This window comes from Homo sapiens, chromosome 5 (genome assembly GCF_000001405.40).
Source record: "Homo sapiens chromosome 5, GRCh38.p14 Primary Assembly".
Classification (NCBI taxonomy): Eukaryota; Metazoa; Chordata; class Mammalia; order Primates; family Hominidae; genus Homo; species Homo sapiens.
In genome coordinates, this window is record NC_000005.10 from 78,585,417 (window position 1) to 78,599,805 (window position 14,389).

Here is a 14,389-nt window from a genome sequence, read left to right on the forward strand (position 1 = left end):
CTGACTCCTTGAGCTTCCCGAGTGAGGCAATGCCTCGCCCTGCTTCGGCTCACGCACAGTGTGTGCACCCACTGACCTGCGCCCACTGTCTGGCACTCCCTAGTGAGATGAACCCGGTACCTCAGATGGAAATGCAGAAATCACCCGTCTTCTGCGTCGCTCATGCTGGGAGCTGCATACTGGAGTTGTTCCTATTCAGCCATCTTGGCTCCTCCTCCCGCTCTCAAGGTTTTAGTTGAGAGCACTAAAACAACCTCCACCTCCTCCTCCTCCTCATCATCATCATCACCATCATCACGTATTGAATGAGCCCTGGCTATATGCCGGGCACTGTGCTAGGCACTTAATAGCATTTGTCTTCATGAAAAACTCACAACAATTTTATGAGATAGGCTATTAACCTCATTTTACAGATGGGGAGACTGGGTTGGGGTTGGGGTTGGGGATGGGATGCATAAAGGAGCCTGCCCGAGGTCCTGCCACTAACAAGCAACACAAGCCGTTCACGTACTACCTCCCAGTGGCCTAAAAGGTCATGGAACATCAGAGCTTAATGTGGAAGGAGTAATAAGGTCATTTTTTAAATACATGGTTCACGTCTCTAAAGGGCTTGAGGATGAGGAACAGCACCAACCTTGAAGTTCAAATTCTTGGGTTTAAGTAGCAGCTTCATCATGTGCCATTTGGAAATGTAATGAACTAATCAAGAGACACTGCTTAGCAGAGCCCAGCTCCCATGGGTGGTAACTGTCCACTTTCCTCTCTCTTCCCTCGGGCAAGTTACTCAAACCTCAAAGAACTTTTTTCCTCATCCGAAACATGGGAGTCAACAAAATGCACCTCACCAGGCTGCTGTGAGGATTACGTGAGATGATTTCACAGTGATCAAACAGGACACACGTACTGCCTGTTGCCATTCTTTCATGCTGCCCCATTTGATTTTCATGTTGTCTCATTTGTGGAGGAATGCTATCCCATCTGGCTTTCCAGAAGACTGGGTAGAATATAGGAACAGTCATGTCCTCATTTCATAACTGCAGTAAGTGAAGCCCAGGCGCACTGAGTCATCACACAGCTGGTATACCACAGGCTTCTTATCCTCGGCTTCCTCTGCCCTTTGTCTCAGGCACACAAAACCTCAACACTCTCAGGCAACAGAGTCTGTAACGAAGACCACCACTTGGCATGGTTTCAGTGTCCTAACAGTGATTCTACGCAAGGCTGACACACAATCCTGCTCCACCCACTCAGGTAGGAGATTCCACATTCAAATAAAACAACAGCAAAAACTTCCCGGTTTTTATAGGGGGGAAAAAAAAGCCAATCCCTAAATTATGCCCCACTATTCAACTTTGGCTCCTTTGTTTTTTAATACAGTATAAGTTATATTTTCTAGCAATTATTATTTGAGAAGTTCTAGAAAGGAGCATTTCCACACAACAAAAACTAGAATATTCTTTTTATATATACCAACACTTGGAATAGTCTTTTTAATTCTTTTTGCTGCCTAATGAATACTTATTGGATTTTTAAACTCAGTAAGCTACTTCTTTATTTGAGGTGTGGAGAAACTCAGCAGCTGCTGCTTCAGTAGCATACAACTGTTAAATTATTACAACTACTTCTATTCCTTCCATTTTCTTCCTTCATTATTAGTAATAAAATGAAGGTATTTCTTATAGTCAGTCATCTAAAGTCCTTGCCATATGAATTGTAGAAAAACAGAAACCAAACGAGGCAAGTCTAAATACCTTGAACTTTGCTAGCAATATTAAGTTAAAATGTCTGTTGCAAAGCCAATTAAAGTTGGTCCCAAAGACTCACATTTTCCAGTCTGCTGGCATGGTTGATGCTTGTTGGCAAAGATGCCGAATAGAGTCTTCTTACTAAATAGGACAAATGATGACAATGGTAGACACTGCAAGCTAACCATTATGGAAGAATTTCACCACTTTAAAGGGTCTGCAGGCCACGAAGAAATGATACAGCAGAAAAAGACCACCAGAAAATGCTGACATCTCTGAGCCCTGCTTTTTGACTCTGCATCCCACACCTCCTGGACAAAGTGGGAGACTTAGGCTTGAATCCTAAATACTCTATGCCCACATGTAAGCCATTATGGATAACTGTGCTTGAAACTTAATTCCACATCTGCTCTTCTGCAGCCTTTGGAAATCTTATGAATTTCTCTGACAATTGTTTGCAAAGGCCATAATCACAGGCATCTGTAACTGGATCCCCAGCTACAGGACAAAACACCACATAATCCTAAGAGGCTTTCAGTCAAATCTTACTTGGTTTCTTGTGTCTTTTGCTGTCTTTAAAATTGCACTAAGCCTTCAATTTACAGAAAGCGCCGATTAGCATTGGTCTGAAGGTGGCCCAAGCCCTCTTTATCGTCCCTACCACACAGCCAGTGCAAATCCTTATCATCTCCCTTCTGGCTGTGGCCTCCCTGGCCCACCTTCAGAAAGAAGCCTTATGGCTCTGGAGGAAGCAATCTGAGCTAAGGGCAAGTGAGGTCCCAGGGCCAGTTCATGTTCTCTGCCCCTCCCTCCGGTGGTTCCAGAATCGCAGGAGACATGAGGATGTACCCTGGTTCCAAGTGGCCAAGAAAATAGATGCATTGGTACTTTTCCAGTTCTTTCACTTGAGTCACTCAGAAGCTGGATCTATCTTTTCTAATTCTAGCTGGCCAACAGCCTGACAGAGACCTTAAGCAACAAAACTAACTTCCTGTGTCTGTTCCATATTGTTTTTTAATTTGTTTAAGAGACAGCATCTGGCTTTGTGGCCTAGGCTGGAGTGCAGTGGTGCAATCATAGCTCACTGCTGCCTGCAACTCCTGGGATCAAGTGATCTTCCTGCCTCAGCCTCCCGAGTGATTACGAATACAGGTGCATGACACAGCACCCAGCTTATATCTTAAAAAATTTAACAGCAAACATTTCTTTAAAAAAATTTCTGAACTCTTCTATCTTTCATTCTATAAACACTCACAAGAGTCAAGTGGAAAAAGTTCTTGTACCAACAAGGCCACATATTGATTTAGTAACCTTGGGCAAATAACACCTCCATCTGGGTACCTTAGTTTTCTAATCTAATGTCTAGCCATCTCCTATTTTTTTTAATGAGAAACAAAGTTAACAATGTACATAGAAGTGTTCTTCAAAGGATGAAGCTCTGTAAATAATCTAAGATATCATTACTGCTGTTATCCTCTTCAAAAGCTCCATGCTGATGTTTAAGAGCTCTGAGGCCAGCCAGGCAGGGTTGATAAAAGTTACTTAACCTCTCTAGCCTCAATTTTCTCATCTGCAAAGTGGAGATAAAATAACAGTCCCTGACACTGTTAGTGTGAGGAAGGAATAAGTAACTGCAAAGAGAGCACTTAAAACAGTGCCTGACTCAATAAATGGTACCTAATGTAAGTTACTCTCCTTATTCATAGTGAATCCTGTGTTCTTGTTTCATCAGCCCCTTTCAAAATAACTTACCTTTTTCAAGCCATTCTGTTTCAATGTGCTAAGAAAAGGGGAGGGACTAATATATATTGTTACATATCTCATTTAATCCTGCCAACCATAATGTGTGGCAGGTTTTATTATCCCCTTTTTCCATGAAGTTCAGAAAGGTCAAGTGGCTGTCAGGTGGCAGCCAGGATTCAAAGTCAGGCCTGGATGACCCAGACTGTGCTTTCCATTGCATCCAGTTGCCATTGAGATACAAAGTGGGAGAATAATAAAGGCATTTCTAAAAAAAATTAGAAGTTGGCCAGGCGCAGTGGCTCACGCCTGTAATCCCAGCACTTTGGGAGGCTGAGGCAGGTGGATCACGAGGTCAGGAGATCGAGACCATCCTGGCTAACACAGTGAAACCCCATTTCTACTCAAAATAAAAACAAATTAGCTGGGCATGGTGGCACGCGCCTGTAATTCCAGCTACTCGGGAGGCTAAGGAGGAGAATCGCTTGAACCCGGGAGGCAGAGGCTGCAATGAGCCGAGATCGCACCACTGCACTCCAGTCTGGCAACAGGGTTAACTCCATCTCAAAAAAAAAAAAAAAATTAGAAGTCATCTAATTTATATAGGAAGTGTGATTCAAAGTCATTGCAAAAAAACAGCATTAGATTTGGACTTAAGCTGTGAGGACAGTTCAAATGGTGTCTACTCTTGCCCGCCTTTCCCTGTCCCTCCTCAACCTGCACCCGCATGAATAGGTGAGCAGAGATGTCTGCTACAGGGCCAGCCTTGTGCACTTCTCTACAGCACTCACCACCCAGCAGCATACGTGCTGGTTCATGTCTGCCTCCTCCAGCAGACCATGGGTTGGCTCCTTGAGGACGGCCACTATGTCTGGTTCACCTCATATGCTCAAGGCCTCGCCTGATGCCCAGTCCAGAGCAGGACACAACACAGTTAACTGAATAAATGCATGAATGGTGGCCATCCAGATAGTCCCTGATGCACCAAGGATTGGTTCATTTGACAATTATTGTAAGTTAAAAGGGGCCCAAAATTAAACCTAGCCCCTGCAGGTGGTCATCTCAGAATATGACCTGTGTCACATGTAAGACCACCTCTTGTAAACGGCATTTCATTAGTCTATGTAATTAGATATCCATATAACTAAAATATATTTATATCATTATGAAACTTGCCTGCTACGAAATGCTCTTGCATCATTATACAAACACCCACACTTTCACACACATGGCTCTACTAGAGCTCGTTCCTCATGATAGCTCTTTTTCATCCCTTTTGGTCCAGGAAGACCTAGCCAGGAACAACAACAACAACAACAACAACAAACGGGCAACAGTGTTAGAGGTATGTTGTAATGAAAAGCTACTTTCAGGTCATTATCTTTCCGCCTTGACAAGTATCTGGCAAGAGAGCAGATACAAACATAAGCAAAATGAAATCAAGGTCTTTATACTGTACCTAGAACTTTAAAGTCACTTTACCTTGCCTCTTCATTTTTTCTAACTATATTGAAATCATTTTTCCTTCTGATTTCACATATTTTTTTAACAACTAATAAATACTATAAGTAAAGTTTGTACCAAAGATAGTGTGGTGGGATGTTATTCAATTTTTTTTTCCAGTTTAGAACTGGGTCTTCCTCCTGAGAAGAATCACAGAGGCATACAATTCTCTCTTAAAATTTAAGTGTAAAATTGTTGGACAATTTATTTTTTGAAACATCTATGATGTTACTCTTGGATTTAATAAAAGTCAATGTACTCATGCTACGAAGGGCCTTTTACCCAGAATACATTTATATTTCACTAAACAGTCATACGAAACCTAGAAATAGTTGTATCATCCATGCTGGAACATTTAGTCTTACCAAAATAATGTAGAACAGCGTAAAGTCATAATACGTCTCTAGAAGATGTTCTCTAAATGGATAATGCAGATCATGTTTTTTGTTACCACTGGTTTATAGCTAAGAATGTTTCCTAGTCTCTCAAAGGCCTCCGATTCTATTTAGGGATCTTTGACCCTTTATACCTGGGGGTTTGTGACATTTCTGAGAAAATCAAACTGTTTACCAGTAAAAATTAGACAAATATTTCTGAGCCAAATATTTCTATTTTTTTGCCATAAAAAGTTAGCCAAATATTTAACCTAGTGACAAAATGAATGCACTAATTTGTGGTGGAAGAGGGAAATCTGACTTCCTACTTTTGTAAAATCTCCTCAGGCTTAGTCCCTATCTATACAGAAAGAAACTCCCAGGAAGTAAAACGCTAATGACTTGGTGTGTACATGTAAGTTTACAGAAAAAAATGAAGACGAGGGCCTAACCCCCTAATGACCAATGTTTGTTCCCATGACCAAACAACAAATGAAATTCAAAGAACGGGGGAAGCAGTTGACCTCAAGTGCCCTGCAACATTTTTCCCTTTGCAGCTTTTGAAACCGTTTAGTTTCTTTATCTTTATTAGGACATTTTCCTCATCAAATTAATGAGTCACTAAACAAAAGGCTTACTAAAATGTTTACCTCTGAGAATAAACTATCTGGTAAGACTCTAGGAGAAAAGACGAGTCATAATTTGCCATTGCTTTTCAATGAAATCATCTGGGAAAAGCAAGGCAGAAAGTGGGGGTAGGAAGAGAGGATGACAACATAAAATTCAAAGCAAATCCCGAGGCCAACTCTGAGAAAATGTTTGTGATCCTTTGTGTCCTGTAATCCTTGACATTGTCGCGTCTACCCTCCTGCCTTTATGGAACACTTTCTTTCTGACAATTATTAAATAAGACATTCTTGTGGAACACTTAGCTTTGTTAAAACCAACTCTGGTACAAGGGAAAGGAGGGGAGGAGAAGCCAGGAGACCTTGTGCCATGGGGGCTGCAGAAACAGAAAGGAAGCTTACTAGTTGAGGCAGCAAGAGCAAACACAAGGCACATGTAGAACACGGATAGGAGAAAAATAAAGGGCAGCACATATAATCACCAGGTTTTCTTATTGTTCTTTCTGGGCACACACAACTGGCATGAACATGTGGTTGACAGGTCTGAGAACTGATTCCTAGAGACAGAGCTGGCGCAGGAGGGCTGGGAAGTGGGCACTATCTGCTCCATCTGGAGAGTGTCTGAAAGACGTGGTTCCCTTCAACTCATTTTCATTTGATGGTCTTTTCCCAGTGCTCAAGAGCACAGTCTTCAATTAACAGGCAGTACAATAGTCCTTTAACAAGCAACATGGACCTACAATGAGGGGTCAAAGAGAAGTCAAATGCGTGGCAACAGAACTCCAGCCAGGAAATTCTGGAAGACTTCAGAAGTACTCAGACACGGCAAGGCATTCTCTCCCAAACGCTCAGGAAGGACAGAGAGCACCTCTCTCAAAGGAGTGCGGGATGGATGCCTCAGATTTCAGAGGTAGCCTCTGCAGATCCACAGCAAATTCTACTGAGGGAATTCTTTCCTCTAGAAGACGCTCTAAGAGTAACAAAAAGTAAGAGCTAATTTGGGTTTGTCTCCTGTGTGGTTTCTACTTCTCAGTGCAAACTGCATAAATTCTCTGCCCAGTGCGGGAAGCAGGGTGCTTTTTCCTTCTCTCTCCACCAAAGTTTCACAATTATGTACGAGACTGGCCCTTCTTGAGCATCTTTTGCTTTCTTCACTTCCACTTTCATCTACATTAAGTTCTGCCTGATTACTCTTCAACTTAGTGAAAAATTCAGATACACACACACACACACACATTACTCTTCAACTTAGTGAAAAATTCAGATACACACACACACACACACACACACACATTACTCTTCAACTTAGTGAAAAATTCAGATACACACACACACACACACACACACACATTACTCTTCAACTTAGTGAAAAATTCAGATACACACACACACACACACAATCAGCTGAATTACTCCTGGCCATCCAGATTACTCTTTCTGAATTTTAAAAATTATTCAGAATGAGGAGTTATTGTTTCTTGGGTACAGAGTTTCAGTTTTGCAAGATAAAAGAGTTCTGGAGCTGGTGGTGATGGTTGCACAACAGTGTGAAAACATTCAATACTATGAACTGTATGCTTGAAATGTACATTTTATGTTATGTGTATTTTATCACAATTAAAAACAAAAGCCAACAGGTGCTCCCATGCCTGGTTTTGGCAACTCGCGCATAATCTCTGTCCCCGGTGTCTGGTTGGAAGCAGTCACTACACAGCAGTTCCAGGACACTACCGGGTGCTGACATTCACGGGGGGCGAAAGGAGATGCCAGCTGCTGCTCACAGTGAGTGCTTTTCCCGGGGAGCAGACACAGTATCTGCATCAGACACTCCTGATTCACTTCTCATCCCCATGGGAATCAGGAGAAAGATTTCACAGCCCTCAAGTAAGACATCTAGGTTCCTGGAATTAAGGAAAAGAAGAGCTAAAGTCAAGAGTGCAAGGTCCTGAGATCCCTGGTGACATCTTTCCACCTCTTGTTTTCGATTGAGGAAGACAGCCTGGGGACTTAAAGGCCCCAGCTGTCTCTCCCGAGCACCTCTCCCTTCACACTCCAAAAACAGTATCATTTTCATGACAAAAAGCTCTTTTAAAAAATGCTCCATAAGGTCCTCACAGACCTGGTCCCTGTCTCCAGAAGGTCATGGTTTATGATATACCATTGTGACCATGCTAGTTGAAACATATGGGTAACAGGTGAGCGTACTAAATCAATATTTGAACAAGCAATGATGTATTTATAGTACATCTGGTAGTGGTCAAGGATACACTCTTTGGGAGAAGAGGCAACCTGAGAAGTAACCAGACCAGAGACTGGAAGGACCAAGTGTGTGTGGAAGAACCTGAGAGCTCCATACACAGCCTAGAGGAGCAAGGCTGGACCAATTGTCTATGAAGGCCTCACTCACAAACCAGACGGCATGACTGTCCCCAGTCCTTCCCTACTCTGAAACCTATCCACAAGCTGACCCAGGGAACCCTGCTTGATGAGGCAAGAAGGAGGGGGGATGGAGAGGATATCTCATTCCTATTCGTCTTCAAGGTAACACACACAAAAATAGCAAACTCTTGCATACTGCTTGTTATGAACACTCTTCCAATAACTCGTAGATAGGAACTCATTTAAGCCTCACCAGCCCAGGTACTATTTTATGCACTGACAGAGAAACCAAGATAGAAAAAGGTTAAGGAGCTTGCCCAAGGTTTCAGAGCTAGTTAAGTATGGGGGCCAGACAGTTATCCTGGCTCTTAGCCTTTATGCAATCCTGCTTCTCTAAAACAATGGCTATTTCTGTAACACTAGACAAGAAGAGAGGCTTAAAGACATTCGGCCCTATGTAGCATGTTAACTCTGTTCCCCTATTTTTAGGGGGAGAGGCAGCATAGCTTTGTATAGACATCCTCCGACTCAACTTGGGCAGGATGTCAGCTAACTGTGTGGCCTTGGACACATTAATTAACTATTAGCTATTCACTGTATCTGTAATATACGCTGTCTAATGTATCTGTAAGGGTTAAATCAAGTTTCTAGCACATACATAATAGATAGAAGCTATTATTCACCCAGGTGAAAGCTCTAAAAACAAGCAGCTGACACACAGCCACCATCTAACAAATTAATCAAAATCCTGTAATAAAGTAATAGTGGCTATAAGCTTAAACTGGCACACAGCAGTCAGTTCATAGCCAGAGCCCTACAAATCATGAACAGTTCCTTCACTACACTGTTTGGGTAGGGATTCTATAATTTTTCCTAAGTGTTCCCCTGGGATAAGAACCAAGACACAAGAAAGAGAAAAGGGACAAACTTACAAGTTAGCAGAATGTTTTACTTGAAAACACAGTGCAAAAGTTGAAGGTAAAAAAACTTGACATTTTATAATAGTCTTTGTTTGATTCTAGAAAGCCAAACAGTCCCTAATTACTAAATCACATATAGAATGGACATAGCCGCCAACGACCAAAGAAAGAATATAAATTGCATGTCACATCTCAACTTCAGAGAGAAACCATCTGATGTGGCTAGCCTTCTGAGTGGGTGCTAGCACTGTGTTCTTTCCTTGCTCTTAGAATAGAGTCTGGGGACCAGCCTGGCTGGCCTAGCTATCTCTCAGGGACCAGATAGCAAACTTTGTACCCTGTGTGTTTCGAATTCACACTCAAGAATGTGAAAATAATCAGCTATGCCATCTCAACATGCACTGATGAACAGTTTTCAGGACTGCTTCAAACCAGGAACTAAGGTAAAATAACAAGTTAGACAAGCCATGTGCAGACATCCCGCCTCCAGTCAGGACGTGGGGATTCTCCTTCCTGGAGACAGACTATATTTTTACAACAGGCTTTTCTATTTTCCTTACAGATTGCTTCAACTATAACAGCACAAACCAAACATCTGAAATAATGAGTCATACTGGCTTGAATCCGAAGCACCAGGTCAAATGCAGTTTAAGCCACGTCAGTGCTTAAAGGCAACCCTCATGTGGTGAGTGGACAGATTTCTGCCACCAGAAATCTATAAGCCCTTTCCACCTAGGTGAACAATGTCTCAGTGTGGGAGGCAAGACAAGTGTTTCTAGCTGTTCAGGACCAGGCTAGGAGAATCTTCTTTCTTCCTTTCCTTTTTTTAGACAGGGTCTCACTCTGTCACCCAAGGTAAGTGCAGCAGCGTGACCACTGCTTACTGCAGCCTTGAACTCCTGGGGTCAAGCAATTCTCCCGCCTCAGCCTCCGGAACAGCTGGGACTACAGGCTTAAGCCACTACACGTGGCTAATTTTTTAAAATTTTTTTTGTAAAGGCAGGGTCTCACTATGTTGACCAGGCCTGTCTTGAACTCCTGGCCTCAAGCAATCCTCCTGCCTTTGCCTCCCAAAGTGCTGAAATTATAGGTGTGAGCCACTGCAGCACCCAGCTGTTCCTTCTTTCTTAAATTGCCTCTCTTTGGAGGGGATTCCTGATGAGGAAAAAACAAAAAAGAAACTCAAAAACTTACAGCATTTTTTCCTATAAGCATTCTGGTAAAGGGGAGTCCAAGAGAAAGGAGGTTTAAATGAACAATAATGGTATTAAGTAGCATTACAAATATTATTTGTGGATTTAAGTTAAATTTGTTCTTGATTCTATGAAATATGAAAGTCAAAACATTCTTTCATCAGTTAAAAAAAGCAGCCCTCTCTGCAGCTGTTCTAGACCGAAGATGACAAAGTTTATAATAAATTATAAGCAACCCTCATGACATCTAAATTATACATTTATTTTCCTCCTTCACAATATCATTATAATGTCTCCAATTAAAGCCCGACAAATTTTGGAAATTGAATTGAAAAGATATACAGTTACAAGAACTTCTCAAGAAAGATGCAAGGAGAAAGGGTCCTCATCCCAAAAGATTGGACTTGCAGGAAACACAAGCTCACATCATCCTACAGAAGGTAAGCAGCTGCCTAGAGGACGACCTTTCTGATAAAAGAGTAAAGCATGCAGGCATGAACGAATCAATGAACATTTGAATGAAATAGCCCTGGGATCACAAAGTTCCAAGAATATTTTTCATGAGTCTCACAGTGCCCAGTTTTCCTTTAACATAAGTCTGTCTTACCTTTTCTAAGACATACCTAATGTGATAAAGAGAAACCTAGTAAAAATGATTGACCTTCCTTGGCAATCTTTGTGACTCTTACCTATTCATTCCAACTCTGCTTAGGGATAAAAGTGTCACGTGCCTGTCTGAAATTGTCTCCTATAGCCATGTCTGAATTATCCAAAAGTCAGGACACCTCCCCGCCATGGTCCCAGAACCCAGCTAGGAACCCAGAAAAGCAATCTACCAAGGAAATGCTGCCCAAAGCCCAGCAAGCCACATTCTGATGCTGGTAGGTTGTCAGTCATAAGCAAAAATCCAGAAAATACAAATCTTCCTTTGATAATAATATTGACAGTTTCTTCTGCTCCCAAATTTTTGCCTTCTTCCCATTAAACAACAAAAATTAAGTGATCTAGGTTGCCCATGTTGCACAGTCTATACATTCATATGAAACAAAAATTTAACCTCATAAAAAGAAATTCAATTACTATTGACTAAACTGCAAAGTAATATTTAACACACCAAACAATAATTTTGTAAGCAAAGCAAATTGCTAAACCTGGTTCTCAGCCATTGTTTCCATATCACAGTCACCTGTGGGACTCAGGAAAATCACTGATGATCAGCACCACCCTAGGAGAGTAAGGTCTGGTGGGGCTGGGGTGCAGTGGAAACAGCCCACGAGCGAGGCGCCAAGAGAGCAGCAGTCTAATCCCAGCTAGACTTTGCACTTCCTGTGTGGCCTCTGGGACATCACATCTCTTCCCTGTGTTTCCTCACAGGGAGCTCTAAAATGGGGGCATTGTATGAAAAGATAATCTAAGTCTCTTCCAGTTTTTTTCAATTTTCTCCCAACCCCAGAGTTTTTTCCACTTAGGAAACTAACACAAGTTTTTCTAATTTTTTCCCAAACCTAGTGTTTTTTCCACTTAGGAAACTTAAAGGTCTCTTTGTGTGGGACAGAAGCAAGAAAAAATGAAGACAAATATACCAAAGTGTGTCTCAGAGTAGAATGATTCAACATGACGTAAGAGTTTGTGTGGGAGAGTGGTGAACTGACGTAGCAGATTATGGAAGACTGTGAACAAGCAGCTTGGAAAGTCAGGAAACTCTAAGACCCAATTCTTCAATTCTTCCTTCTTTGTTTTTCTTTTTAAGATACAGAACAAAAGAAAAGTTGGGAGGAAAGAGAAATGAAGTAACAAATAAGTCAGTAGTATTCAATGAACACTTACCAAATGTGCATGATGGTATGTTACAGGAATAAGAAAGAATTTAAGTGAAGAACAACATGGTCCCTGAACTCAAGCTATTTGTGATGGAATTCAGTGCATCATATGCACTGAATTAGTATCTTCATATGCATTGGTATCACTGGGCAAGCTTGTTAGAAAATACAGACACCTGGGTCCACACCCCTCTTCCCAAACATTATAAATCCATTTCCAGGATGCAGAGCCAGAAATGTTTTTGTTGCTCACCAAAACTTGACAACCACAAACTAAATAACAATGGAATCCAACTTTTGAATAATGCAGTTAATACAAAGACCCCTTAAGGCAACCCTGACTTAGTCATAGATAGCAAATATAGGTTAAGGCCTGGGTTCCCACCCCATGTGTCAAGATGATCTGGAGAGCCACAGCAAACTCACAGGAGCATGAAGGGATACTACAGTTTTTTAAGGAAAGCATGGTGAAGTGTGGGAATTATACAAACTACTAGTTCAAGTTAATTCACAAAATGCATTACATTCCTTTTGATGACATCATCTCTTTGTGAAACTGGTTTTTGCAATTACTATGATAATAAGCCAAGCACATTTGAACATCAATGTGGAACAGGAAACCAAGGTGGGAATGTCAAATCTGACTCCTAGGCTTGCGAAGCCATGAGGTATCCAACAAAGAAACACAGCTCACTAGTAAATGAAGGTGGTTATTCAAGAACAAAGTAAGTTCTAAAATCTTATAAAAAGAAAAGCATATTTTCTTTCAATTTATACATACTACTTTTTCAAATGGCCATTAAGTTGTTAGAACAGAAGTACCTATTAGGTGGTTTGTATGTAACTCTTAAACAAAACTGTTAAGTACTTACTTTGAAAAAATTAACTAGACACTTAGAGGACCAAGAACAGAGAAAGTTTGGGATCTTCTGGGTCAAGACAACCTTACAATGGGATTCTTTTTATAGCATAAAAATTTAATTCACTCCAACAAAATAGATCTCATGTTTCCTTCTGATAGAGAAAGCATTCTAGAGGCATTCCAGAATGCTGCTTTTCAAAGTATTCTCAAATGAGAACAATGACAATCATGAATATGTCTATCCACTGATTGGTCAATAACTGCATGAATTATTTTCTTCCATGTTATATTTCAAATAGCATTCCAAAGTAAAAATGTATAGATATATTATCTTGTTTTCATAGGAAGCATTATTATACCTGTACAACACCTTCAAATTTACTTCACAAAATTTGAACATACGGTAATTTCAGTAACAGCCTTCTTAGACAATCCAAGTCCAGTTATCCCTAGCATTCAAGCACTGGTCACAGGAAGTGCTGCGCTCACTGCACTTGTTGGTCTGCCTATGTCCCCAGCCAGTCCTACTCATCTCCAGCCCTTGCTTGGCTCAGCCGTACTGTTTTATCACACTGCGTCATTCCCCTACCCTCCCAAGTGTTATGGATAAAGTTTTATTTTCTCAATTAATGTAAATTGTACTTTGTTAGAGACGACCATGATTACTAGATATAAAAACTTCCCAAGATTGAAAGCGAAGAATAAACCCTTTTTTTGGGCGGGGAGCACAGGGGGTTGCGGACAGAGTTTTGCTCTTGTTGCCCAGGCTGGAGTGCAGTGGCTCAATCTCGGCTCACTGCAACCTCTGCCTTCCAAGTTCAAGCAGTTCTCCTGCCTCAGCCTCTCAAGTAGCTGGGATTACAAGTGTCCGCCATCATGCCCGGCTAATTTTTTGTATTTTTTTTTTTTTTTAGTAGAGACAGGGTTTCACCATGTTGGCCAGGCTGGCCTCGAACTCCTGACCTCAGGTGATCCACCTCGGCCTCCCAAAGTGCTGGGATTACAGGCATGAGCCACTACACCCAGCCCCTACTTCTACCAGGTAGAGCATTATTAATGGAGAGACTATCATGCCTACACACAGATTCTGCTTGCCAGTTCAACAATTAAGTGAATAAAAAACATAAAGGCTTGCTGCCTAGCCCATGAGATCTTGTCTAGTTGTGACTTAGTACAGATAATGGCAGACAATGGGAGACAGCCTTCAGCATGTACAACTGCTTCAAC

At 41.5% G+C, this 14,389-nt stretch overlaps 1 protein-coding gene across 6 annotated transcripts in view, besides 3 other annotated features; it reads right to left on the reverse strand.

Annotated features, from left to right (window-relative positions):
- Window positions 1-14,389, reverse strand: part of LHFPL2 (LHFPL tetraspan subfamily member 2) — a 163,543-nt gene that overhangs the window by 100,187 nt on the left and 48,967 nt on the right. The gene's annotated exons all lie outside the window — the stretch shown is intronic.
- Window positions 11,610-11,904: an enhancer, noted in NCBI's record as "tiled region #10457; HepG2 Activating DNase matched - State 5:Enh, and K562 Activating non-DNase unmatched - State 6:EnhF". NCBI's record gives its function as "activates a minimal TATA promoter and a strong SV40 promoter by Sharpr-MPRA in HepG2 cells, with weaker activity in K562 cells {active_cell/tissue: HepG2 | K562}" and the evidence as "EXISTENCE:reporter gene assay evidence [ECO:0000049][PMID:27701403]".
- Window positions 11,610-11,954: a biological region, named in NCBI's record as "Sharpr-MPRA regulatory region 10457".
- Window positions 11,750-11,954: a silencer, noted in NCBI's record as "fragment chr5:77892989-77893193 (GRCh37/hg19 assembly coordinates)". NCBI's record gives its function as "represses an EF-1alpha promoter that drives an FKBP-Casp9 reporter gene in an ReSE screen in K562 erythroleukemia cells {active_cell/tissue: K562}" and the evidence as "EXISTENCE:reporter gene assay evidence [ECO:0000049][PMID:32094911]".